The 27,367-nt window shown below is 40.0% G+C and overlaps 3 protein-coding genes across 14 annotated transcripts in view, besides 9 other annotated features; 2 read left to right on the forward strand and 1 right to left on the reverse strand.

The window, feature by feature from the left end:
- TOR1AIP2 (torsin 1A interacting protein 2) overlaps positions 1–11,440 on the reverse strand; it is a 37,828-nt gene extending 26,388 nt beyond the window's left edge. For 5 of the 11 annotated variants that reach the window (NM_145034.5, NM_001349937.2, NM_001199260.2 and 2 more), the window contains exons 1-2: positions 11,330–11,440; positions 10,876–11,010 (exon numbers count right to left, since the gene is read on the reverse strand). The gene's annotated coding sequence lies outside the window, so the exon portion shown is untranslated. Of the gene's footprint in view, positions 1–2,444; positions 2,478–10,875; positions 11,011–11,329 lie in introns of those variants that run through there. The other 6 variants (NM_001349936.2, NM_001349934.2, NM_001349931.2 and 3 more) reach the window with 2 other exon arrangements.
- Positions 11,415–11,774: an enhancer, noted in NCBI's record as "active region_2154". NCBI's record gives its function as "activates an Ori minimal core promoter by ATAC-STARR-seq in GM12878 lymphoblastoid cells {active_cell/tissue: GM12878}" and the evidence as "EXISTENCE:reporter gene assay evidence [ECO:0000049][PMID:35858748]".
- Positions 15,288–15,826: an enhancer, noted in NCBI's record as "NANOG-H3K27ac-H3K4me1 hESC enhancer chr1:179850786-179851324 (GRCh37/hg19 assembly coordinates)". NCBI's record gives its function as "activates a minimal SCP1, AML or CMV promoter by ChIP-STARR-seq in primed H9 embryonic stem cells {active_cell/tissue: H9 hESC(primed)}" and the evidence as "EXISTENCE:reporter gene assay evidence [ECO:0000049][PMID:30033119]".
- Positions 15,288–15,848: a biological region, named in NCBI's record as "NANOG-H3K27ac-H3K4me1 hESC enhancer GRCh37_chr1:179850786-179851324".
- Positions 15,739–15,848: an enhancer, noted in NCBI's record as "active region_2155". NCBI's record gives its function as "activates an Ori minimal core promoter by ATAC-STARR-seq in GM12878 lymphoblastoid cells {active_cell/tissue: GM12878}" and the evidence as "EXISTENCE:reporter gene assay evidence [ECO:0000049][PMID:35858748]".
- Positions 15,827–16,364: an enhancer, noted in NCBI's record as "NANOG-H3K27ac-H3K4me1 hESC enhancer chr1:179851325-179851862 (GRCh37/hg19 assembly coordinates)". NCBI's record gives its function as "activates a minimal SCP1, AML or CMV promoter by ChIP-STARR-seq in naive H9 embryonic stem cells {active_cell/tissue: H9 hESC(naive)}" and the evidence as "EXISTENCE:reporter gene assay evidence [ECO:0000049][PMID:30033119]".
- Positions 15,827–16,628: a biological region, named in NCBI's record as "NANOG-H3K27ac-H3K4me1 hESC enhancer GRCh37_chr1:179851325-179851862".
- Positions 15,869–16,628: an enhancer, noted in NCBI's record as "active region_2156". NCBI's record gives its function as "activates an Ori minimal core promoter by ATAC-STARR-seq in GM12878 lymphoblastoid cells {active_cell/tissue: GM12878}" and the evidence as "EXISTENCE:reporter gene assay evidence [ECO:0000049][PMID:35858748]".
- TOR1AIP1 (torsin 1A interacting protein 1) overlaps positions 15,922–27,367 on the forward strand; it is a 37,792-nt gene continuing 26,346 nt past the window's right edge. The window contains exons 1-3 of one of the 2 annotated variants that reach the window (NM_001267578.2): positions 15,922–16,614; positions 18,329–18,406; positions 22,947–23,006. In NM_001267578.2, the coding sequence (NP_001254507.1) occupies positions 16,140–16,614; positions 18,329–18,406; positions 22,947–23,006 (613 nt within the window). In that variant the 5' untranslated portion in view covers positions 15,922–16,139. The remainder of the gene's footprint in view (positions 16,615–18,328; positions 18,407–22,946; positions 23,007–27,367) is intronic. The other variant, NM_015602.4, reaches the window with a different exon arrangement.
- LOC139427322 (uncharacterized) lies at positions 15,953–16,030 on the forward strand. The gene has a single exon (NM_001436163.1). The coding sequence runs from the start codon at positions 15,953–15,955 to the stop codon at positions 16,028–16,030; it is 78 nt and encodes a 25-aa protein (NP_001423092.1).
- Positions 16,191–16,485: an enhancer, noted in NCBI's record as "tiled region #13766; HepG2 Activating non-DNase unmatched - State 1:Tss, and K562 Activating DNase unmatched - State 1:Tss". NCBI's record gives its function as "activates a minimal TATA promoter and a strong SV40 promoter by Sharpr-MPRA in HepG2 and K562 cells {active_cell/tissue: HepG2 | K562}" and the evidence as "EXISTENCE:reporter gene assay evidence [ECO:0000049][PMID:27701403]".
- Positions 16,789–16,888: an enhancer, noted in NCBI's record as "active region_2157". NCBI's record gives its function as "activates an Ori minimal core promoter by ATAC-STARR-seq in GM12878 lymphoblastoid cells {active_cell/tissue: GM12878}" and the evidence as "EXISTENCE:reporter gene assay evidence [ECO:0000049][PMID:35858748]".

Genomic DNA, 27,367 nt, shown 5'->3' on the forward strand with positions numbered 1-27,367 from the left:
AGAGGGGCAAGTCTAATTGCTCACCATCTAGTTGTTTGTTATTCTTGTTTGTTTTTTTTTCTTTTTGAGACAGAGTTTCATTCTTGTTGCCCAGGCTGGAGTGCAATGGCACAATCTTGGCTTACTGCAATCTCCGCCTCCTGGGTTCAAGCGATTCTCCTGCTTCAGCCTCCCAAGTATTACAGGTATGTGCCACCATGCCCGGCTAATTTTGTATTTTTAGTAGAGACGGGCTTTCTCCATGTTGGTCAGGCTGGTCTCGAACTCCCGACCTCAGGTGATCCGCCCACCTTGGTTTCCCAAAGTGCCGGGATTACAGGAGTGAGCCACCGTGCCCGGGTGCCCACCACCTAGTTTTATTGGTTTATACACCGTGTCATTCTGAGAAGGCAAGTAAGGCACAGCCCTGAGCAATAGTCCTGAGCTATTCTTGGAAAATGCATAGTAAATAAGTTGGAATTTGCAGATGTTATCATCATCTTTGCATTCCTTCATGACACTGGATGTAGCATGTAAATAAGGTGGGACAGTAGGATGTATGGAGCAACTAGAAGGCCACCTAGAGGGTATCACAGAATCAGAATACTATATATACCATGCCTTTCTCCAATGTTCTTTTTGTAAATTCTGAGACTTGATCCTATGAGAGTAATAAGAGACGCTGGGGAGGGCATGAGTTAAAATATAAAGATCTGGCCTGAAAAATAGAAGGAATTATAGCCTTAGTTGTGGTAAGCCAAAGCACTCTCCTTACAGAAGTAATAGCTGTGATTCTCAGATTTTAAAATGGTAAATTTAAAAGGCGAATGAAGAGGCTCTGATAGTGCTACGACAACATGGGGCCCATATTTTGATGGAAGTCCCAGAGCGGGTGAAATAGAGTCAAGTAGACATACTGATGTGTTTTCTGAGGTTAGGTAACAATGTACGGGTGAGGGCTACTAATTCAGTTCCTCAGGCAGAGTGGACAAAAGGCTTGGTTTCCGACTCAATGACTAGATACTTGGTGCTGATAGCACAGGGCATAATAGATTTCCCTGAGGGTCTGCTGACAAGAGCTACCAGTGAAAGCTTCAGCTACTGAATTAAATCTTGGGTCTCTAGTCATGGTACAGAGAGATGACGAATAAAACTCCCACAATGGTGGATAAACACAAAAGATAAAAAATTAAAAGTCTGACATTTAATTGATCAGATTTTACATTTTTAGAGTGAAATCAAGTAAATGCAACAAGATACTATTGTAGTGTCAGCAAGATACTATTTCACATCTACCACACTACAAAAACTGACAAAGGGGGTTCCACATACTATAGCAAAAACCACTCCTCCCAGAGGACTCTATTGGTAGGAGTCAAGAGAAAGCCCTAAAGCTCCAAGTGCTCAGAATAATTCCATCCATTCCCCAACCTTCAGTTTTACAACTTCAAGAATCAAACAAGCACTAGAATTCCAAGTATTCCTGCATCAAGAGAACTCCACCGTTCCATATGTTTCAGACAAGTCTTCCCTCCTCTCCTGGTCCTTTAAACCTCTGTAGGCAAGAGCCACCAGGGGGCCCCAGAACTCCAAATGCTCAAAATAATACCACCCATTACCAGCTTCCTCACTCATTCTTTAGCCTTAGAGCTACTGGATGAGTAGGAGTGAAGAGAGGGGCCTGGGAAAATGCTCCTGGCAAGATTCCTAACCCCTATCCCCACCCCAACACTCACAGCTTCAATACAGCTTCAATTATCTGCTTGAAAGCATCAGGACCAATCTCATACCTATATCTCTGTTCATGTCAATCACCACCTGAAACACAGGACTTCTTGGTTATATCCCATCCCCTTAGCCTCAAATCCCCCCATATGGCTCTATCAGCAATGCAATAACAAGTACTACTAGGCTTGCTTTATTTTTTTCACATAAAACAGGTACCATTTTGCTATATTATTTATTTTGGCTATTTTTCTCCACTAAAATATAAACTCCCTGAAAGCAGGACATTTTACCTTTCTATTTACTGCTATAGTGTCCAATAAATATTTCTGGAATGAATAAATGACAAAAATAAAATGTAACTTGAATTCTTATAGTCTAATGACAAGACTATAAATCTGTACAATCACTTTTGGAATTGGCATTACCTAGTAAAACTGAAGATGTGCATTTCCTATAACTCAGCAGTTGCACTCTTAGGCACATACCCTAGAGAAACTGCACCTGTACATTTAAAAACATGAATAAAAATATTCATGGTAGCACTGTGTAATAGCAAAATAACAGCCACAATGGCCACGAACGGGAGAATGAATAAATTAAGGTATTGCTGTACAATAGGATACTGTCATTCTAAACACAGATGAAACTCAAGAATGTTGAGCTTAAAAAAAAAATGCAAGTAGCACAAGGAAAAAAATAAACACATGCACACATTCTTATATAAACTTTCCACTTACATAAAGTTTCAAAAGGATATAAAATTAATGTGTTGTTTAGGGATATTTTTTTGAGACGGAGTTTCACTCTTGTTGCTCAGGCTGGAGGGCAATGGTGCAATCTTGGCTCACTGCAACCTCCGCCTCCTGAGTTCAAGTGATTCTCTTGCTTCAACCTCCCGAGTAGCTGGGATTACAGGTATGCACCACCATGCCCGGCTACTTTTGTATTTTTAGGAGAGACGGGGTTTCTCCATGTTGGTCAGGTTGGTCTTGAACTCCCAACCTCAGGTGATCTGCCCGCCTCAGCCTCCCAAAGTGCTGGTATTATAGGCATGAGCCACCACCCCAGCCCAACTGTGTATTTTTAGTAGAAACGGGGTTTCTCCATGTTGGTCAGGCTGGTCTCGAACTCCGAACCTCAGGTGATCCGCCCGCCTCAGCCTCCCAAAGTGCTGGGATTACAGGCGTAAGCCACCGTGCCCGGCTGCAATAAAGCTTTAAAAAAAAAAAAAGAAGTATTAAGTCCAAACCTGAGGATAATTATTACCTCTGATGGGAGAGGGAAGGGTGGGGGATGGAGGGCATTCAAAGAATTTCAAAGATAATTGTAATTTTGTTTTCTTTAACTGGGTGAAGGTACAAGAATACCCACTGTATCATAAATCCTAATAGCTTACAGCATCTCTATTCAATATTTTATAATGTTTAAAAGAGAAAGAGGTTAATAAGCAAAACCAAACTTTCACACTGTGGACAAGACCAGTAGCAGTTAATCTGCTCAGAGGCAAAGCAGGTAACTTACATTGGGATAAAGAAGAGCAATATAGAAGGATATGGATCTTTGTTTTCCTCACAAAATTTTAAGCAACCATCTCTTCATAGAAATAAGGTAAAAGAAGCCTACCTAATGGTTGTACAAAAGAGGGTTTATCTTAGCATACTCTCTGAAGGCATGAATTTCTGTGTAGGGAAGTTGCTATTTCACATGACGCCTTTGTACAAATTAGAAAAAGGCACAGTTCCTCCAAGCAATATACAACTCAGAAAACTTTATTTGGCAGGATATTAAACAGTATACAGTAACCCTCTGTCAGATAATAACACTTAGTAGCTAACACTTATGGAGTGCTATTTTCTGTTCTAAACACTTTATTCGTATTAACTCATTTAATCTGCTCACAAAGCCAAAGGATACTCTTCCACTATGAATAAATATTGGCGGTGGGAGAAATCACCCCTCATAATTTTTCACTTCCACACCAAAAAATACAGGATAAACTTCCAGGAGTCCTGAATCCTCTGAAATTACATGTAAAAATCTTTACGGCTGGGCACGGTGGTTTACGCCTGTAATCCCAGCACTTTGGGAGGCCAAGGCGGGTGGATCACGAGGTCAGGAGATGGAGACCATCCTGGCTAACACATGGTGAAACCCTGTCTCTACTAAAAATACAAAAAAATTAGCCAGCCGTGGTGGCGGGCGCCTGTAGTCCCAGCTACTCAGGAGGCTGAGGCAGGAGAATGGCGTGAACCCAGGAGGCGGAGCTTGCAGTGAGCCAAGATCGCGCCACTGCACTCCAGCCTGGGGGACAGAGTGAGACTCCATTTCCAAAAAAAAAAAAATTTTTTTTACATACACATGTGCATTTTTTTCCAAAAAGATGGTACATCCTTTTAAACTCCTAGAGGAATCTGAAATGATTCAGGACCATTAGGCACTATGGTTCCTAACCATTTTGCTATCAAAGGTAACTTTTTTCCAATCCCACCCCTCCTCCTCCATTTTGGAAAGATGTCCAAACAATCTGCAGTCTTGTAATAATTTCGTTTTCTCATTTTTAGTAATCGGATATGTAGATCTGCCAAACAGAAGTTCTAATAAAACAAAAAACTAATGCTACTAGCCTTGGTTTAAAAACTTCCATTATTTTAAATTAGACAAAATACTTTATATCCCTATAACACAGAGTTGGAAAGATCTGGATATCCTAAAACTGGCTTCCTTTCTCAACTTCATTAGCTTAAGTCCTAAGCAGCTGATTTAAGGTAAGTATATGACTATCATTAGGTTTTTAGAAATGCTAAATAAAAATACCTTGAGAACTACCATTACTTTATGATTGTTAAACATAATTGTTTCACTTATTTGAGGAGCGCACCATGTGCTAGGCCCAATGCCAAGTACTATGGATACAGAAAGAAAATCATTCAGGACTTCTAGATGTCTAGGGAATCCAGACTGGAACCAGTGATTTAGGTGAAGGCTAAGGGCTCTTAGAGGGATATAAAAAGATCCCCTGTAGGCTAAGGGCTCTTAGAGGGATATAAAAAGATCCCCTGTAGAGATCACAGGAAATTTAGGGAGGCCCACAGCAAAAGCTGGGATGCTTGTATTTTCAAACCTCCTTCACTAAAAACAGTGAGCAAAAAAACAAAATTTGAGGAGCTTCTCTACTGCACAAATGCTATACAAAAGAAAATACAAATCAGGGGTTTTGTGTATGTAAACTAAAATAAATTTAAGATCCTTCCTGAAACTTTATTAAAAGAAAATTTAGAAAAGAAAATAGTACTTTCACACCAAAATAGAAAATGTAGTTCTATTTAATCCACTGAAATTTACATCAACTAACCATGGCAACTTTTTAATTAACTTCTCTAAATAGTCTATCTTGTTCTTTGCTATTTCCTGAATGTATGTTAGTAAGTTCAAATCTGCCTTCAATAGATAAAAATTCCCTTATTCTTTTTTGTGGTAGCATAATAATTAAGTTTCAGACTGAGTCTGGATTGGAATGACTTTTCCAGGCAATTTATCCCTTAGACTTCAGCCTCAACCAATTCCTCATATGATACATAAAATCAAGATAGGCACATAGAAAAAGTATAAATGCTTTAAACTCTCTTGAATTCCCATTTTAAATATTTTCTTCTAGGGGGTACTACAGTCAAGGCTAATCAATAATCATAACTTTTTTTGTATGAGATGGTTTCTCCAATAAGTTTCATACACAAAGTGAAATCTTAAGAGTTTCCTATTTCACAACTACCTTAGATAATGAGAGATTAAGGAGTATGAAAAAAGGAATCATTCTTCTTTTTGAATTCATATAATCTAAAATAATTTTTTGTTGAAAATAAAATGCTCCTGGAAAAAAGTCAACTTGTTTTGTGAGAAACTACTTTTAATTTGGCAATCTTGAGATCACTGAGAGAAGGCATATGGATGACAATCTTCAGTACTATTTAGTACACACACTGTTCCCTCTTTAGAACAGAGAAGCCAAATAAAAAATATTACCCAAGGTTAGAAAATAGCTGCAGAATGTTCTCCTCTCTCTTGCCCCAGGAACTGACAAACGAAACAGGTGTGTATGCATTGCTACCATACTTTTTGAGGGGCATGGCCATAAAGGAGAACAACTGGTTTGGAAACCTACTGGTACATTTCTATCTATGTTGCTCTAATGCTCCAAAAGCCCATGGTCCAAATTCTGTCTACAATTTCACTTCAAAACACCAGCAGCCAAACCTTTAAGGCTAATACACAACTTTCAACAGTCAGATCTGGTGCCAAGCTTAGGTATTTCTATAACTTGTGCTAGCTATTTATTGTCTGTCTAAAACTAAATTTCTAAGTCTTGCCCACTCCTCTGTACCATATCCACTGTCATAATATCCCAGCATTATTATTTTCACAATTTTTCGTTTCTCTGTATTTTCACTAACTGGTGACTTATTCTAGATTTTTGAAAGAAGTTTGAAAAAGTACTAGCCTCGGAACAAAAAGCACTCTACTTCCTTAGGGAATTGTTTTTTACACAGGAATTGAATGCCTGGCGCAGATCAAATTCTACAGATATTTTCTGAGTGCAGAAAGCCTTCCTTTCCTACTTACCCTTTTTCATACTCCCTCCCAACTCCTTTGACTTGTATCTCTAGTTTCGGTTGACCACGTAGAGGTATTAAGCTATGCACGAAGGATCTAAGAGTTTGCTAAGATTTCTGACAGTGGGTGGCACAACTGACTGCCAGGTTTAGTTCAACTTCCCTAATCACTTTTAGTATCTACTTCAAGTCAACATATTTTTATTAAACTTTTTATTTTGAACTAATTTTAGACTTACAGAAAAGTTGCAAAAATAGCACACAGTTCCATTATATCCTTCATCTAGCATCTTACATAATTAAAGCATAGTTATCGAAAACAAGAAATCAACATTGGCACAATTCAATTAACTAGAGGCCATATTCAGATTTCACGATTTCTTTTAGTTGTTATTTTTCCTTAGTGTCTAGTCTATGACAGTTCCTCAGTCTTTACCTGTCATTTGTGACCCTTTCTTGTCTTTGTGACCTTGACACTTTTGAAGAATACTGGTCAGTTATTTTGGGTTCGGTGTTTTTTGTTTTTAAAAATAGACACGTGGTCTTGCTATGTTGCCTAGGCTGGTCTCGAACTCCTGGGCTCAAGCGATCCTCTTGCCTTGGCTTCCCAAAATGCTGGGATTACAGACATGAGCCTCTGCACCTGACCTGGCCAGTTATTTTGTAGAATGTTCCTCAGTTTAGAGTTTTACAATATTTTATCATGATTAGAAAGATAAAAAGATTATGCATTTTTGGCAAGAATAACAAACGTCACAGAAATGCCGCTGTGTCCTTCTCACTGCCTCTTTGGGTTCATGATGTCCTTGTCTCATTACTGGTGATGTTAACCTTGATCACTTTGTTAACATAGTACCTCCACTGTCGGATTACTATTTTTTCTTTGTAGTTAATAATTATCCTGGGAGAGATACTTTGAGACTATGTAAATATTCTGATTTTCCTCTAACTGGATTTTGTCTGCAACAACTACTATGGTACTGTTTCCCTAATGGTGGTTTTGTATTTCCTTCTTTCCTTCTATGTTTATTAAATGGAATTCTTCTGTTAGAGTTGTCCCTTCTCCCCTACTTATTTATTCACTCAGCAATATCAGTATGAACTCATTTTATTTTATGGGTTAAAGTCCAATACTATCATTATTCATTTTATTGCTCAAATTGTTCCAACCTGGATACCAGGAACTCCTTCAAGTTGGCTCTTGGGTCCTTTCGACAAGGTCCCTAACTTTTTGTAGCATTTCCTTACTTTCAAGCACCATAAGATTTTTCAGGCTCATCTTGTATTTTCTCTGCTCCCGCACTAAATCAGCCACTTCTCTAAAAAGTCCTAGTTCCTTTAAAAACCAAGATCTGAATGCTCAGTGCTACTGGGGTATAACTATCAAGTCAACAATATGGACAACAAGTGTTTGTTTCCTTACTATATTAAACTCACTAGCTGGGAATCACTAGCATTACCTGGGAGCTTGCTAAAAGTACAAATTCAGGCCCCAACCTAGACCCACTAGACCAGAATCTCTGAGAGCCTCCTACAGGAATTTATGTTTTAACAGATTTGCCAGATGACTCTGGTGTTCACTATAAAGTAGCTGGGTGTGGCAGTGTGTGCCTGCAGTCTCAGTTATTTGGGAGACTGAGGTGGGAGGATCGCTTGAGCTCAGGAGTTCAAGTTTGCAGTAAGCCATGATAGTGCCACTATACTCCAGCCTGGGCAACACAGCAAGTCCTTGTCTCAAAAGAAAAAGAAAAGAAAAAATAGTTATAAAGTACCTTTATACAGTACTTCAAAATATACTGTAGTCAGGTATGGTGGCTCATGCCTATAATCCCAGCCTTTTAGGAGGTTCAGGCAGGAGAGGACTGCTTGAGCCCAACGGTTCAGAGACCAGCCTAGGCAACATATCGAGACCTTGTTCATACAAAAAATACAAAAATTAGTCAGGTATGGTGGTGTGTGCCTGTAGTCTCAGCTACTTGGAAGGCTGAGGTAGGAGGATCACTTGAGACTGGGAGGTCAAGGATGCAGTGAGCCGTGATTGTGCCACTGCACTCCAGCCTGGATAAGAGAGAGAGATCCTATCTCAAAAAAGAAACAAACAAAAAACTGTAAATACTGTTACTTTTATACAAAGAAAGTTATAAGTCAGCCTCCAGGATCAAGTCCAATCTACAAATATGACCTAACATCCATAAAGCAAATCTACAAATATAGAACCCAATATAGCACTATCCTCTAAGGTCAGACTGCCTAGACCTGAATGACTGCTCCAGCTTCTGACTTGGTGTTTCTCTCTCTCTCTCTATGCCCTTGGTTTTCTTTGTTTTTTGTTTTGTTTTTGAGATGGAGTCTCGCTCTGTCGCCCAGGCTGGAGTGCAATGGCGCGTACTCAGCTCACTGTAACCTCCGCCTCCCAGGTTCAAATGATTCTCCTGCCTCAAGCCTCCCGAGAAGCTGGGATTACAGGTGCCCGCCACCACGCCCAGCTAATTTCTTTGTATTTTTAGTAGGGACAGGGTTTCACCATGTTGGCCAGGTTGGTCTCAAACTCCTGACCTCAAGTGATCCACCCACCTTGGCCTCCCAAAGTGCTGGGACTATAGGCGTGAGCCACTGCACCCAGCCCCTGGCTAATTTTTTCCTTGGTTTTCTTAATTACAAAATGGAATAATAGTACTTAGATGAAAGAGGCAGTGTGAAGATCAAATGAGATAATGTGCAATACTGGCAACCACAGGGGCACAAAAGAAGTCCTCAAAAACCGTAAATAATTATTATTTGAACTATTAAAGGCAAAACCAGACAGCTTCATTTATATAATTAAAACCCCAGAAGACACCAATGTTTCAAAATTTGACTTTTTCCAAAAATGTCATTACATTTACATGATAGATACTCATGGTCAAGGGCTGAAGGAAAATCTCTAAAAATCAAACAATTTGATTTGTTGAGGTAGTGGAGTTATAGGTGAATTTTCTTCCCAGAAATTTCGATTACCAAAATTATGTGCACAGTTCATACCAGAGCCATGGCACCAAAAAAAAAAAAATCATGTGCCAGCTCCTTTAAATATTAGTAAAGAGGAAAACAGCCCACACAGTAACAAAATAGGAATTCAAACCCAGCTATGACTCCAGTCTATGCTCATTACCAATGTTAGGGACACGCTTCCTTATTCCCAAGTGCTTGATTTCTGTGCAAAATTTATGGTAATATATGATCGCCCTATGAATTCCTTCTTGTAGGACACAGTTTAATCCAGTAGTTCATATGATGTAGAAATATTAATGAAATTTTAACACAATCAAAATTCTAAATGGTAAATAAAACAGCCAATTCTTCATTCTTTAAATTTTTTTGGAAGTTGTCGAATCTCCAAGTTTATGGGCCTTCACAGTTGACTTAGTGAACAACCTCAAAGTGATAAAGCAGACAAGGCTTTTTGAAGCAAACATTCCTTCAGGAAATTCAAGTGGCACTTCAAAGAAGTGTGGACTTTCCTGGAATAGAATTTTGACTTCTGTGTTCCATGGAAATGAATGGAATACAGAAATTACTTCTTAGGCAAAAATAAGTTATATACAAGATACAATACATTATTAAAACACCCAATAATCCTCAAATAATTAGCTACATTCTGAAGTTAATTTATTTATAAATTATTGAAGCTCTCAAGCTAGCATTACCTCTACATTAGGAAAGAAACTAGATAAAATAGTTCTTAAATGAGTCACGCAAGGTTGCGTAACAAACCAGCAGAAAAACAGGTAATCAAGTTGTGGACTGCACGTTCAGCATAATAAACATTACTGAAGACAGGCACTCAGTTTTCATAACAAATGTTAGTTTTTCAAACTATTCTAATCCACACAAAGTCTTCCAAAAACATCTGTAGTTACTCTACCATGAAGTTCCTTTTTTTATTAAATGTTTCCACTGGCCTTTTATATCCTCATCTTGTGCTCAAAAAAAAAAGCTCAAAAAACATGGATAACTGCCACAGCTTAAAACAAAGAAAGGATCTCTCATACAGATCCAAAATAAAATGTGTTAAAACCTAAAGACAGGTAAAACAAAGCCAGTATGTTTAATCTATGTAACTCATTTCTGGATCTGTGTAACAGTATAAAGTCTGATAATTAAGCATTACTCATAAAGTAGAGAGTACTATGAAATTTGTTAAAAGAAGGAAAAGGCACAAACTTTTTCATCAGGTATTAAATACAATTGGGAGAATGGTACATATATAATATGTAAGCAAAATGGTAGGAGGTCTTACTAAAACTTCAACTTTGCCCTTTTTAGCACCAATTTTTTTTTTTTTTAAGTATTATCTTTTCAGGATTAAGATTATGAATGTCGAGAACCTAGGCATGTTGGGAATGGAGTAATCGCCGCCTACACTAGTAGGCAAATTTCCCACTCACATTTCGAACCCTAAAATAATTCGGCTTCTCACCTTAAAGTCTAAACCCAAAAATTTACTCACATCTTAACCCATTTAATATTTATAAGATTCAGTTTCTTTTTATCCCAAAACAAAAATATACCCCCAACCTACCTCGTTTACTGTTTGAGTGAGGCCAGGCGTGGTGGCTCACGCCTGTAATCCCAGCACTTTGGGAGGCTGAGGTGGGAGAATCGCTTGAAGCCAGGAGTTCGAGACCAACCTGGGCAATACAGTGAGACCCTGTCGCTATAAAAATAAAAAATAAAGTAATTAGTAGGGCATGGTGGTGCGGGCCTGTAGTTCCAGCTACTTGGGAGGCTGAGGCGGGAGGATCCCTTGAGCCCAGAAGTATGAGGCTGTGGTGAGCTATGATCACGCCACTGTACTCTAGCCTCGGTGACAGGGCAAGTACCTGTCTCAAAAACAATAAAAATAAAAATACCATTTGTGCGGTACGAAGGTGGGGGTGGGGAGGGACCGTTTCTGAAAGTCCTTTTCAAAAATTCAAGATATCAGTTTCAATACTAAAACATGGAAAAGCTGCATAGTCATTTTGTTTACTTACAAATTCTGGCGAAGTTTTAAATCGTAAAACTGTTAGTATCAGGAGAGCCCTTCGAGTATTCTCTCCGCTCCACACCGCTCGGCTGCACCCAGCGGCCGCCGCGGCCCGAATGTCGTCCAGGGTCCCCGCCCATATGACAAACACTTTCCGCCGGAAGGCGCCCGTGGAATCCTGGGACTAGTAGTCTCCGTGCCCTGCCTTCTGCCTTCTCCATCCTTCACCCTCTACTGCCAGGTCGTCTGACCCAGCGACAGGCGCGGTAAATGCGCGACCAAACCGCAGAGGTCCCATGCAATCTCATGCTGACAGGATTACAGGCATCTCTGTAAGACGTCGACCACCCTGACCTGAAATTCATAGACTGAAGAAACTCATAGGACCAACACAGTGAGCAGCAGTACCAAATGATAATGGCAAGCACCATGTCCTGGAACACACCCTCTGTGCCATTAAGAGGAGCATGTAATCCAATGAGTTGCCTAATCTAAACCTCAGTTTGCTCGTGTGTCAAATGGGGACAACGTTACTTACCTCATAAGTTTGTTATTAGTAGATTAGATGACGTATGCAGCATTTCTGTTAAATGACAGTAGTGACAAAAAATAGCTGTTTTGATCTACTAATTTTATAAATGTGAAAATTAAGAGATGGCGAGCAATTTACCCAAGAACATACAATTTGTTGGGGGAAAAATGAAGTAAGTCTAAAATTCCTGTTCTTGACCTACAGCAATTCAGGACAAATCTAACCAAATTTCAAGAAGAAATCTATTCATGTAAAACTCCCTTCCCCTTTCCTCTTTTTTTTCCCATAACAGTCCTGACCAACACACTATTTTACTTATTTTGATTTTTGCCCGACTCCTCCCATAGAATATAATCTCCAAGAAGGCAGGAAACATTTTTTGTCTTTTAGTCTATTTTGTTCACTGCTGTATCCCCAGCACAGAGAACAGGGACTGCCTACTACACAGTAGCTCAAGTATTTATTGAATTAATAATTCCTCATTTAATGTGATTTTTGGTGCCTTCACTTCTCAATCACCCTCTCTTGGCAGAAGTGACAGGATTTGGTAACACTCTTGGATGGTGTTTAATAATTAACTGCAAGTCCTAATTCAACAAAAAGAATACTATATTCCATTCACTTTATTGTGTTTAATTAATTTCAGTATAACATTTCCAGGAATTTTCATTTGTATTGTCATTAAAATATTTTTCTATCATTTGTAAGACTGGGGAATAAATGGAGCCAGCTACTATGTCTTTAATTAACTTCCTCCTGTTTAATATTTTAATCATCTTTTCCTTATTAAAATTGTTTGCCTACTTCATTTGTACTACTAAGTCACAACGGATAGATTTATCTCTTTAAATAAATGAACTTCTGCTTACCCTAAAGCAAAAAGTTCCTGTACAAAAAATTTATTGTTCTAAAATGTTTCATTTAAAATAATTATTTTGGCCAGGCGTGGTGGCTCACACCTGTAATCCCAGCACTTTGGAAGGCCAAGGCGGATGGATCACCTGAGGTCAGGAGTTCAAGACCAGCCTTGCCAACATGGCAAAATCCATGTCTACTAAAAATACAAAAATTAGCTGGGCATGGTGGCAGGCACCTGTAATCCCAGCTACTCGGGAGGCTGAGGCAGGAGGATCACTTGAACCTGGAGTTGGGGGAGGCTGCAGTAAGCCGAGATTGCACCACTGCACTCCAGCCTAGGCGAAAGAGCGAGACTCCGTCTCTAAATAAATAAATTAATTAAAAATGAAATAAAATAACTGATTTAGGAACCCAGTCTCAAGAGCACAGGATTTCCAGACCTAGCCCTAATAGTTAAGTGTGTGAATTAATGCCATTTAATCTGAATTGTAATTTTTCGTGTTTCTGTCGTTCCCAATAAATGACAAATTCCCTAAAGATAGTCTTCCTCATTGCTGGCACACGTTTGATAAGTAAATGAATTATTAAGTGTATTCTTTGTTTTAATCATTTCTTTTCTTACCGGTCTTCTTTTTTGGGTCACTGAATTCCTCCAGATTTCTCAAATTCCCAAAGTAACTTTAATATCCAGAGCTGAGGCATCCTTTTTTAGTGGCCCAGCGCATCCCTTATAATATTGGCTATGACTCTACTGTCACTGTAATGTCACCTCTTTTCAGCCACTCTTATAGTCTGGATAATAGCTACAGCAGAGTATCTAGTTTCATAACAGTTTAGCTTTGCCTCAGAGCTAGTGATGAAAGTTTCGTATCTGTAAGGTTTCTAGGTGAAGGAGGCAGTCACAGTAGAGGTAGGTTTCCTTATGCTTACAACCTAGATGAGAGGGAAAATCCGATGCATATATATATGTGTGTGTGTGTGTGTGTGTGTGTGTGTGTGTTAGCATTAAAGTTACCATACCTCTAATTTTACAGTAAGTGTCTCATTAATTTAGTTGAAAGGCCATTCCTAAGCCTTTACAAGCAGTTTTAATTACAAAATATGCATATTCTGATTATTCAATAATATGCAGAACCTCTCCTCTGATTGTTCAATATGTAGAATCTCTTGTCTCTTTTTTAATTTGTCCCTCAAACCTAAGTTTTACAAGCCTGTATCCAAGTTTTATAAGCTAGTATCCCAGTTTCTACATAGTCATCTGTCTTGGTAAAATGTTTCAAGGAGACTTTAATGTTCATAATATGAACTCAATATATTACTATAAAATTTATATTTAATAATTAAATCTATTAAGGAACTTATACTATTGTGTTACTAATGAGTAATGTAATAGCCACTTTAAAGAGAAAGCCCTGCTTAAAACATAAATAAAAGCCACGTATTACCATATCAATACTTTTGAGCATTTTGTTGGAAGAGTAAATCTAGCTAATTTCCGAAATATACCATCTAATCCAGACTGACAAGGAAGAGTATCCTTTTCATTTTTCCTTAAAAGACAAGAAGAAAGAAGAAAGAGAGACAGAAAAGAAAGAAAGAAGTCTCTCTTTTGTTACTGCAGTTTTTAAAAGCTATATTGTACATAAAGCTACAGTAAACTAAGCTCCTAACAGGCCAAACCTTATCTCACTCTAAAACTGTAATTCCTCCTGCCTGTGGCCAAATTTATGGACAATATTAGTAAAAACATAGTACACAGTCGGGCAGGGTGGCTCACGCCTGTAATCCCAGCACTTTGGGAGGCCGAGAGGCGGATCACGAGGTCAGGAGATCGAGACCATCCTGGCTAACACGGTGAAACCCTGTCTCTACTAAAAATACAAAAAAATTAGCCGGGCGTGGCGGCATGCGCCTGTAGTCCCAGCTGCTGGGGAGGCTGAAGCAGGAGAATGGCGTGAATCCGGGAGGCAGAGGTTGCAGTGAGCCGAGATCGCGCCACTGGACTCCAGCCTGGGTGACAGAGCAAGACTCCGTCTCAAAAAAAATAAAATAAAAATAAAAATAAAATAAAAACATAGTACACATTACGACTTAAGTAGTTGAAATTTGTGCCAAGTTTGAGCAACAAATGAGTTGCTCAAAAACATTTTAAGGTGATTACTTGGAAGAATAAACAAACACCTTCAAACTTTTCAGAATCGCTCATTGTAACTGGTATCCAAATTACAATTTTTTAAATCTATTCACTCCAATCATACAAAGCCCTACAAGCAGTTGTATATTTGAAGGCAATTTAAGCTTTCTTTCAATAATTATTCAGACTTTACACGAACTTAATCGACCTTCTCTGAATGTGTCTAAATTTGGTTAGGTATTTGCAGATTAGCCACATCTGTAAACATTTGTATAAGGAGGTGAAACAAATAGATTTTACCATGCTTTCTTATTCCATAAAGTCCATAAAGCATTCTAAATCAAATGTAGAGTATCACGTCACATCCAGAATAAAAGTAAAAATAATGGATCACAACTTAAAATTACAGTGCTGTCTTTAATTAAAAAACTTGTTCATTTCTCACTGTGCACAATGTAGCACTAACATGGTCTTCCGAACACTGCTGCTTGGTATAAAACCGAGAAATATTAAAGACCAGGAATAAGGTTATGTGTCCTATGGGTACATTTCGGAAAAGAAAATACATCCAACGAGTATGACTCTAGATAGGATTTTGTACACCCTCAACAAGTGACAAAATTCAAAACTAGGTAACCGCCCTCATAAGGTACTTGAAACTAAAATTTTTGCCACGAAAACATGGCATGTGCAAAAGTTCTCTCTCTGGCCATCACTCCTGCTAAGGACACTGGGAAGGACATGGTCAACGTAGCAGTCGATCAAAAAGATTCCAGGGAAACTGCGCAACAGCCTGGGGCCGAGAAGCGAAACTTGGGTCTTCTCCACCCTCGTCGCACTCCTTTTCCCCGAGACTTGGTACTGGGAGATAGGACGGGAGTCTCCTACACGCAGTCAACACTTGCCACGAGCGGCTAGACTTAGGACAGGCAAGTTGCCCTGCCATCCTTCTATCGCCCCCACCCCTCCTTTACTTAAGGGCGATGGCAGAGACGTCCTCCTCCCCCTTCTCCTCCTCTTTGGTGCCTCCAGCCAGGAGGCGGGAGCGATCCACAGCAGCTGACCCAGCTCAGGCACTGCCTCTCTCACAGCCCTCAAGACACACCATGGGCCCAGAGGCAGGTTTGCTACACAGCAGCGACGACGCAGGCGGCGGCCCCAGCGACTCGCAACTGCCTCCCTGACCACAGCGGCCACCGCCCAACACCCCCGAGAAGCCATCGCCACCACCGGCAGGAGAACCTAGGGTCCATAAAGCCATCTTCGCGATCGACTAAAGCTACGTCAACAACTATGGCGGGCGACGGGCGGCGGGCAGAGGCGGTGCGGGAAGGATGGGGTGTGTACGTCACCCCCAGGGCCCCCATCCGAGAGGGAAGGGGCCGGCTCGCCCCTCAAAATGGCGGCAGCAGCGATGCGCCTGCGTACAGAACTCCTCCGTCGCGCCAGGGCCGGCGGGAAGTGAGGTTCTCGGACGAGCCGCCAGAAGTGTACGGCGACTTCGAGCCCCTGGTGGCCAAAGAAAGGTCCCCGGTGGGAAAACGAACCCGGCTAGAAGAGTTCCGGTCCGATTCTGCGAAAGAGGAAGTGAGAGAAAGCGCGTACTACCTTCGGTCTAGGCAGCGGAGGCAGCCGCGACCCCAGGAAACCGAGGAAATGAAGACGCGAAGGACTACCCGCCTTCAGCAGCAGCACTCAGAGCAGCCTCCGCTACAGCCGTCTCCTGTTATGACCAGGAGAGGGCTGCGGGACTCTCATTCCTCTGAAGGTGAGGACCGCGGAGGTAACAGTCCCAGCCGCGAGCCAGGGAACGCGCGGGGGCGGGCGCGCGCCTCGGTGGAGCTCATGCCCGCCTGGGTACTAAGTACTGGGATTGGCTAAAGGGTATTCCTCAGCCCCCTCTGGACTTGTGCCGCCGTGCAAGGGCCACCCTGACCCGCAGCGGGGAAGGAAGCGCCGACCGGAGGAGTGGAAAGATGGTCGTGTGGAGCGACCCGGGCAGGGCTGGGGCGCTCTGCCCAACATCGGGCATCAATTTAGGGGAGTCAGAGCTGCCTTTTTCTGCAGGCCTTCACGAGGGGACAGCGAATTACTGCAGGGTCGGTTTCATTTCGGTTCCCTCTACCCTGCGGATGTTTCTACAGAAACCACTTCCATTTCCTTCTTTAACGCTCGCGGGCCAGAGTCCCCAGCTGAGGATCTAACCTTTCAGTCTTTTTCCCTCCTCACCCAGGTGGGCAGAGAGGAAGGAGAAATTTTGTGAGTGGGCATTTCGAGGGATTGCTGAGTTTAGTGAATTGATTTGAGACCTCACCCAATACTTTCACCGAAATGGGGTAACTCATTTTTCCTGAACTGATGTTCCCCAGTGTTTGATAACTTGAGCTGATTGCTGTTTCTCCAGTGTGGTGGTCCCTGCCAAAAATCTGCCACTTTGGTGGCCGTCACTGTAACCTCAAGTAGTCTGGCAAATCAGACTGACAAAGTAACCTGAAAAACAAGACTATTAATTAGAGTTTTCGTCTAAATGGACAAAAGGGATGCTGACAAAGTGAGTGTATAGTGTTAGGTAAGTCATAGGTGAATCAGTTTCCTTAATCTATCCTCTCCCACCCTGCCCCCCCCATTTTAGGACCTAACACTGAGTCACAGATGAAGTTTCATGTTAATCCCATGTAAGGCACCTGTGAGGTAAAAATCAGCGGACCTGAGTCACAATGGGATGACATAGTTTGTGGTAGACTATTGATAGGCGGAGGAGTGGGTTTTCAGCTTAGAGCACGGTGATAGGCTGCAAGTTTACCTGCTGACTCGTGAAGGTACTGACAGATTTGAAGACTTGATTTTGGAAACTTTATGTTAAAGTTATGTCAGTTATTTTTGGGTGTAGCAACTGAAGACAGTTTAGCCCATATATGTGTTAGTTTTATCTCTTTTAAGATTACAAAGTTTTTGCAGACAAGGAGCCTATAATATATTTGATAGTAATTTAAGTACTTGGTTTAATTCAGTATTTTTCAGTACCTGGAAGAATGCTTTGTACATGGTAGGCAAAAAATATGTTACATTGTATTGAGTTCCACAGAGCCTAGTGCAGTTATACAGGCTAACTTTTTTTTAACAAGTAAAGAATTTACCCCTATTTTATTAAATCTTTAAGGATCTAAACATTTTTCACTCTTCTGCTTTCTTCCACATCATTTGTGACTCTCTACCCCATCTTTTTGATTTTCTGAAGTAATATATTTTTGTAAAACAACAATGGCAAATATTATTATATTCTGTTGAATTCATTGTATTCTGTCTCAAGAGGAGTTCTGACTGGTATATTTCCTAAGTTTTGGTAAACCTAACCACCTGTTTCTAAAGAAACGAATTTCTTGAATTTTTGCTTATGTATTGTTACAAAAATGCATAATCTGTGCCATGATCTCCCAGGTCATATATTCTGAATTTTAACTCTTGTTATGTCTGTTTTTTAGAGGATGAAGCATCTTCCCAAACTGATTTAAGCCAAACGATCTCAAAGAAAACTGTCAGGAGCATACAAGAGGCTCCAGGTAAGAATAGTTAACTTTTTGTTTTTCTCCTTACCTACCAACTTTTTAAATGTTCATTGAATTAAACAATGTAAGTATGTGTAAAGAAAAGACAAGGGCAGACACGTGAGTACTCAAGAGTACCAGCCACCCATATAACCTTGTAAGATAGGTATTATACCAATTTCATAGAAGAGAAAACTGAAACACAGAGAAGCTAAGACAATTCTGTAAGATCACATATGTGACTGAGCCAAAATTCAAACCCAGGTTTGTCTTCTCCAGAGCCCTTTTACTTTCCCCCCAAGTGCCTCACTATCATTCTCTCATGTCATAACTAGCTACTCAGTAAAATTTGTTCAATGTCAAATGAATGAATATGTTATACTGCCCTGTGTTTAAAATGGATTAACTTTTCTTCATGGTAAAATCTTGACACAGTGTGATCAGTCTTTTCAGTTTAATACTGTGGTTTATCAAATCTTAAGATGCTATCGACTATAAGAAACACCATCATTGTTTTATGTACCACCTAGCAAGGGAAAATGCTGCCAATTTTTTGGTAATTTGTAGTAATATGCCATAATTATATGATGCATCCCAATTTCAAAGATGTTAAAGTGTTTAAAAAAATTGTCAGAATCAATGTAACATGGAAGTAGGCTACATTTAATAGTTCACTTAAGTTTTAAAAGCTGATTAAAATATTTTAAAAAGCTGGAGAAGGGATCAAGTCCAGTTATTAATGCTTTGGGTTTTAGTTCCATTTAATTTTCAATTTGCTTTTTTTGATATTAGGAAAGTCTCACAATAATAAACAATCATAGCTGTTAAAACTGATAATCCTTGGTTTTTAGTACCCAGATCCTGACTTATTTACCTGTTTCTAATAAGATTATGCTTTATAATGTGAGCTATTGTATTCTAAACTTAGAATAAGTATGTCTGGTTCAAGTTGAGTTTCAAATAAAAACACCTTCATGCTAATTTTTTTTTCTTTTTTCTTTTTTGAGACAAAGTCTCGCTCTGTTGCTCAGGCTGGAGTGCAGTGGTGCCATCTCCACTCACTGCAACCTCCACCTCCCAGGTTCAAACAATTCTCCTGCCATAGCCTCCTGAGTAGCTGGGATTACAGGCGCCTGACACCACACCTGGCTAATTTTTGTATTTTTAGTAGACATAGGTTTTCACCATGTTGGCCAAGCTGGTCTCGAACTCCTGACCTCAGGTGATCCACCCGCCTTGGCCTCTCAAAGTGCTGGGATTATAGGCATCAGCCACCACGCCTGGCCTGTCCTATATTCCTTGAATAGTCTATGTTACTGTGTTAAGATTATAAACTATCTTAGAAAAATGCTTTGAATAATGATGATATAATCAGATTTTCTGGGCCATTTTGGAAAACCATAATCTTGAATTTATTTGCAGTAGATTTTATTGTATACCTGGGAAAGCAAAAATGTCTAATTTTAAATCTAGAGTAATTTATAAAAATTATGGAGTTAAGTAAATTGGTATAATGAAGACTACTGAGTGCTAGCCTCCGGACCATTATAAAACTATTAAGTAATAGAATGTCTTGAATAGTCTTTTTGGAGTTTATATTAGGCTCATATTTAAGAACTGCTAATGAGGTACACCATGGCTGCATGAGGTTGTGGCAAGAGCATTGGACCTCAGTGAAGTTACTCACTCATCTTGAGCCTTAGGCCTTTACCTGTGTTATTTGCCCTGCATAACTCACAGGGCCTCTGAAGAAATGAGATAGTACATTTGAAATCACTTTGTACCCGGTAAAACATGCAAGTGAGGTTTTTTTTTTCTCATAGCCCTTTACAAGAGATGTGAAGTTCATACAATTTTGCTTAAGTGTATCCTTTTTCTCAAGAAGCTTATGCTATAAATAGAAATTGAAAATGTTTACCAATATAAATGACAGATTAAATGGAATCTGCACATAGATTACCTGGACTGTATCAATAGCATACTGTGCCTTCAGTATTACTAGAAATAAGAGTATGTCTGTCTTTGAGAGGTTTGAGATACTCAGGGTTTTCTTCCTCTAAAAGGTGCTTTTATACTACATCTAATACTTGGCATATTCCCATCCCATGCCTCTTAATGAAAGGAGAGTTTAGGGAATTATTAAATGCTTATAAAGTCTAAGAGAAATTATTTAAATGGAGTCACTCTTTGATGGAGGACTGCTTTAAGTACAAGTTTAAGGTAAAGATAAGCCCTTCTTCCTCATAGAATGATAGACATTCAGTTTAACTTTGATATTCAAAATAGTGCTATAATTGTATATAAGGCTACCGGTGTGGTCTGACAGAAAATTATGCAAAGATGCCCTTACGAATAAAGACCTAGGCCCGGCATGGTGGCTCACGCCTGTAATCCCAGCACTTTGGGAGGCCAAGGTGGGCAGATCACGAGGTCAGGAGTTCGAGACCAGCCTGGCCAATATGGTGAAAACCCCATCTCTACTAAAAATACAAAAACTAGCCAGGCGTGGTGGTGGGCACCTGTAATCCCAGCTACTCGGGAGGCTGAGGCAGGAGAATCGCTTGAACGCGGGAGGCGGAGGTTGCAGTGAGCCGAGATCATGCCACTGCACTCCAGCCTGGGTGATGGAGCCAGAGTCCGTCTAAAAAAAAAAAATACCTAAACCAAAGGACCACCTTATAAAACAACATAGTAAAAATATCTACATCATTTGGTTATCTTGTTATTGGAAGACTTGAAAATGTTGATTAATTCAGAACAGGAATATAGTTTGAAATCTTCTCATTGTTTGAAATTCCATAATTGAGTTGTTTTCACTTAAAATAGCCGTTAGGTTGTTTAATCAATTCAGGTTATATATACCTACATAACAGTTATTCTCCTATGGCCAGATTCATTTCTTTCTGGAAATTATGACACTAATTTTATAATCCAAAAATATATTAGGACAAATTCTATTTACTTTTCCAGAAGTTAAATGGGTATTTTTGTTCTACTAGTGTGGTTTCTAGCTAAACAATCAGATAGTTGTTCTTAAATGCTTACTATTTTATCATGAACATTTGCTTCTCTAGCTGCTGTAGTTAGAGCATTCATTCTCCAGATAATTATTGAGCACCTACTTTGGGCCAGTCTCCATGCTTTGATTTGAGGGTGCAGTGGTGAACAAAAGCAGACAAGTGAGGAAGCCTCCTACCAAAGAAGGGTACTTGATATTTTGTTCTCTCATACCTCTCTCTGGTACCCTGTGTCTTTCAAGTACTTTACTTGGCTATGGGATATGTATATAGTAGCACATGCAGGAAATGCTTCTTAAATGAAAAGATGGGAACTGAAGTAGTGATTGATGTCTGTAGAGTCAGTTTGATTAAACATAGCTTAGTAAAAGCAGACAAACCAAAAACAGATTTTAGGTTTTAATTAAACCTGAAAAGGCTAGAAGTATAGAGAAGAAAAAGAGGAAGGTAGTTGTAATATGTGGAGTAACAGGAACTAAAATTTGCCTTTATTATCATGTGTGCAGGGTTTTTGTTTTTGTTTTAAAGAGACAGGGTCTCACTGTCACCCAGGCTGGCGTGCAGTGCAGTTATACTGCAGCCACAAACTCCTGGACTCAAGCTATCATCCTCCTGCCTTCGCCTCCCAAATAGCTGGGATTACAGGCACACACCACTATGCCCAGACAGGGTCTCAGTATGTTGCCTAGGCTGGCAAGATTTATTTTTTAAAGATATCGATATAAGTTCTAAATACTTGATGTGTGAAATACTGAGATAGATATTTCATAGAATTTTAGAGCTGGAATATTTAAGGGGATCATCAAAGTTCCAGAATGTGTTTTTTGCAACTCAGAGCTAAGACATAATGCTTTTTTATACAGATGAATGAAACAAAACATAATAGAATCCAAATTTTGATAAATATTTGGTTTTAGAACATGTTATGTGAGGTACTTGGAGAAAACATACTTTTATAGGTGGTTTTCTAGACTAAAATTAACATTTTAATAGGATCGGCTTCTCCGCTATCCCTATGCCATTGAACTATAGATGGTCTAAAATAAACCCTGGCCCACATTAATGTTTTTATTTAAAATTAATTTGCATTTCTTCAACACAAGGTTAAATAGAATGAGCGTATTGAATCTCAGGATGTTAACCCTAAAATTAAAATATTCCATAAATAATCCACAATGAGGGTCAGTCACAAATGGAATAGATAATTGAGTTGGTACCATAATACAGATTTTGGTTCTTAATTGAGCAATTTAGAAGAATTTTATTTAGTATTTCTTTCCTTCCTACAGCTACGGTTTGCTGAGAAAAAATGCAAATTTCTCCATCAAGACTATAAATTTTATATGGCAGGAAACTTGTCTCTAGTTCACTATCATCACTAGTTCGCAACAGTTGTCACTTAGAAAGCTTGTCTCTACTTCTCTAGCGTAAATAAAAGCTCTGTAAACCTTTGTTGAATAAATAAGGGATGATCATGTAATAAAGCTAGTATGTTTCACATTTTATATATTTTTAAATGTTTTCTCTTCCTATATTAGCAGTGAGTGAAGATCTTGTAATCAGGTTACGTCGACCCCCTCTAAGATACCCAAGATATGGTAAGAGATTGTTTGTCTGTTGGTTTACCTTTGTTATAAATACAGTTTTATTTTTAAATATGGTTGTACATGTATTCATATGATTCAGAACTTAAAAGTTACTGTAAATATACATTAAAAAATCTCCCTGTCCCCTCTGTCATTCAGCCAGCCAGTCTCTCTTCATCAAAAGCAACCAATGTTGTCAGTTTATATTTTTTGGAGATTTACAGAAATTCATGGATGAAATTATCTTGTCCTTTTTATAATACAAATTTTGGCTTTATAAACTCTCATTTCTGTCTTTTTTTTTTTTTTTAATTTGAGACAAGATCTCGCTCTGTCATCCAGGCTGGAGTGCAGTGGCACAACCAGGGCTGACTGCAGTCTCAATCTCTCTGGCTCAAGCAGTCCTCCTGCCTTAGCCTGCCAAGTAGCTGAGACTATGCATCCACCACCACGCCTGGCTGATTTTTGTATCTTTTGTAGAGATGGGGTTTTGCCATGTTACCCACATGATCTCAAACGCCTGGGTAAGTGATCCACCCACCTCAGCCTCCCAGAGTGCTGGGATTACAGGCATGAGCCACGGCACCTGGCTTACTTTTCTGCACTTTCTTGTTTATTTTTACTTAACATATATACAGAGATATTTCTATATTCATATATAAAAAGCTTCCTTTTTTAAAGAGATTGTTTCTTATATATTCCTGTGATTCTTTATGATGATTTTAAACTATGGTCAGGGACTTTATTCTTCCAGTATACTGCTAACAAAAAATTCAAGCTGGAGCTCTGTGGCACAGAACGACAAAATGTCCCTCCCTCAGTTATCTTTTTGACTAAAACGATTAAAAGTATTGCCCTGAAATTGATTTCATGACTATGAAGAAAACTAGTAAAGACACTCCAAGCAGTCTACTTTTACTTCATTTTCCTTGTTTTTTTGGCTCTTAAAGATGCTTTATCATGGGAACTAAAAAGGAAATGTATTTATCTTTATATTAGGCTTCTGTACCTTCCCATTCTCTTTATCAAAGAATGATGTTGATTTATTTCGATAGATAGTTGACTATCCTTTTAAGTATTCCAGTGGTAAAGATCTACTAAGGTTTTGTTAATGAACCTGTGGTAAAGAACCATATGATGCATTTCCTTTTCAACCCTAATCATTCTCTTGCTATGTCTCTTGCAGATTCGACATACAAAACAAATAGAAATACTAAAATGAGTGAATTATGTTCGTTTATTTCTATTCTTTTTTTTTTCCAGGCAGGGTCTCACTCTCACCCAGGCTGGAGTGCGGTGGCGTGATCTTGGCTCACTGCAGCCTCCTCCTCCTATTGTAGTCCCAGCTACTCTGGAGGCTCAACTGAGCCTCCTACTTCAGCCTCTGGAGTAGCTGGAACTACAGTCATGCATCACCATGCCTGGCTGATTCCTGTGTTTTTTATAGAGATGGGGTTTCACCATGTTGCCCAGGCTAGTCTCGAATTCCTGGGCTCTAGCAATCCACCCGCTTTGGCCTCCCAAAGTGCTGGGATTATTGGCATGCACAACTGCGCCCAACCCTATCTCTAATTCTTACAAGGTCTCTTTGAGGGTCCAGATTAATAGAATACAAGAGTATATATATCTAGTCATTGGCTTGAGAATACTAATTTATTATGTCAGTTTGTGGGGACCCAGTCCCTATGACTAGGACCTCCCATAAACAGCCTTGGTTTTTGTTGTCTATAATTATGCCTATATTATTGCTTAAATTCATATAAAAACATGTAATCAATTTAGTCCTGCTAGTCTTCATTAAATTCACACTATTAGGAAAAAGGAGATAACAACTTACCAATTAAGGTTTTTCTCTTGATTTATTTTTTGTTTTTGTTTTTCTGAGACAGAGCCTTGCTCTGTCACCCAGGCTGTAGTACCGTGGTGCGATCTCGGCTCACTGCAACGTCTGCCTCCCAGGTTCAAGCAATTCTCCTGCCTCAGCCTCCCAAGTAGCTGGGATTACAGGTGCCCACCACCACGCCCAGCTACTTGTTTTGTATTTTTAGTAGAGACAGGGTTTCACCATGTTGGCCAGGCTGGTTTCAAACTCCCTGACCTTGTGATCTACCCCACTTGGCCTCCCAAAGTGCTGGGATTACAGGCATGAGCCACCACGCCCGGCCTTTCTCCTTGATTTTTATTTTTATTTTTTATTTTTATTTATTTATTTATTTTTATTTTCTCGAGACAGGCTCTTGCTCTATCACCGAGGCTGGAGTGCAATGGCGTGATCTTGGCCCACTGCAACTTCTGCCTCCCTGGTTCAAGTGATTCTCCTGCCTCAGCCTTTCAAGCAGCTGGGATTACAGATGACCACCATGACACCCAGCTAATTTTTGTATATTTAGTAGAGATGGGGTTTCACCATGTTGGTCAGGCTGGTCTCGAACTCCTGACCTCAAGCAATCCACCTGCCTCGGCCTCCCAGAGTTTTGGGATTGTAGGCGTGAGCCACCACACCTGGCCCTTTCTTCATTTAGAAAGTGAATTCGATACGTTGTTCACGGCGAGTTCAGTGTCCTTTGCTGTAATACGTTCGTTGAACGGGTTTTAATTCATTTCAGTGTCTGCCTGGCTATAGGACATGACATACCATGATTTGTGGTTTTAAATGAATCTACATTGAATGTTGTTAGACTTAGTTTTTTTTACATTTTAATTATTTTCTAAATTTGAAGATGAGCCAAAAGGGAAACGCTTCATTTTTCTTTATAAATCATTGTACCTTCCTCTAATTCATCTTTCACTTAAGTTCAGGCCACTTCTTTAGAGACTTAAAAAAGCTTTTTAGGCTGGGTGTGGTGGCTCACGCCTATAATCCCAGCACTTTGGGAGGCTGAGGTGGGCAGATCACCTGAGGTCAGGAGTTCAAGACCAGCCTGGCTGGCATGGCAAAACCCCGTCTCTACTAAAAGTACAAAATTAGCCAGGCGTGGTGGTGCTGTGCACTGTAACCCCAGCTGCTTGAGAGTCTGAGGCAGGAGAATCACTTATACCCAGGATGCAGAGGTTGCAGTGAGCCGCAATCACGCCATTGCACTCCAGCCTGGGCAAAAAGAGTAAAACTCTGTCTCAAACAAAAAAAAAAACTTCTTTGGGAGGCCAAGGCGGGCAGATCACAAGGTCAGGAGATCGAGATCATCCTGGCTAACATGGTGAAACCCCGTCTCTACTAAAAAGTACAAAAAATTAGCCGGGCATCGTGGCGGGTGCCTGTAGTCCCAGCTACTTGGGAGGCTGAGGCAGGAGAATGGCGTGAAGTTGGGAGGTGGTGCTTGCAGTGAGCCAGGATTGCGCCACTGCACTCCAGCCTGGGGGACAGAGCGAGACTCCGTCTCAAAAAAAAAAAAAAAAACTTTTTAAAAAAGAGAACTTGGAACTGAAATAACCTAACACTCTTTGCTAGAGCATTTTTATAAGCACCTTGTAATAAAAACTTTGTTTTTTATTGTCTGAAATTATGTCATATTATTTAAATTCATTTTTTTGTGTGATTGTAAATTTAAAAAAGAGATTTTCATTTTAAAGTAATTTTCTGTGGGTTTAGTAGAAAGAATGAGGCTGGGTGCGGTGGCCCATGCCTATAATCCCAGCACTTTGGGAGGCCGAGGCGGGTGGATCACCTGAGGTCAGGAGTTTGAGACCAGCCCGGCCAACATAGTGAAACCCTGTCTCTACTAAAAATACAAAAAATTAGTCGGGCATGGTGGTGGGCACCTGTAATCCCAGCTACTTGGGAGGCTGAGGCAGGGAGAATTGCCTGAACCGGGGAGGTGGAGGTTGCAGTGAGCCGAGATTGCGCCATTGCACTGCAGCCTGGGCGACAGAGCGAGATTTGGTCTCCAAAAACAAACAAACAAACAAACAAAAAAAAAAAAGTGACATTTTTCAATTCCTTTATAGTAATGTTAGTACACCTTGGAGTTTATGAAATGGCCATTCGTGGAGCTTGAATACTAGTGATACCACCAGACTATTCTTTGCTCTTTCCTGCTGCCCCACTCTTGACTCTGTTCTCAAAAGCGTGATTGGCATCAAATAGTCTTTTTTTTCTTTTTTGAGACAGAGTCTCAATCTGTCACCCACGCTGGACTGTAGTGGTGCGATCTCAGCTCACTGCAACCTCCACCTCCCAGGCTTAAGCGATTCTCCTGCCTCAGCCTCCCAAGTAGCTGGGATTACAGGCACATGACACCATGCCTGGCTAATTTTTGTATTTTTAGCAGAGGCAGCATTTCACCATGTTTGCCAGGTTGGTCCTGAACTCCTGACCTCAAATGATCCACCTTCCTTGGCCTCCCAAAGTGCTGGGATTTACAGGCATGAGCCAC

This window comes from Homo sapiens, chromosome 1, assembly GCF_000001405.40.
Source record: "Homo sapiens chromosome 1, GRCh38.p14 Primary Assembly".
NCBI classification, from domain to species: domain Eukaryota; kingdom Metazoa; phylum Chordata; class Mammalia; order Primates; family Hominidae; genus Homo; species Homo sapiens.

Excerpts from the sequence above, each read along its gene's own strand:
- LOC139427322 (NM_001436163.1), top strand. The coding sequence starts at position 15,953 with ATGGGCCCAGAGGCAGGTTTGCTACACAGCAGCGACGACGCAGGCGGC.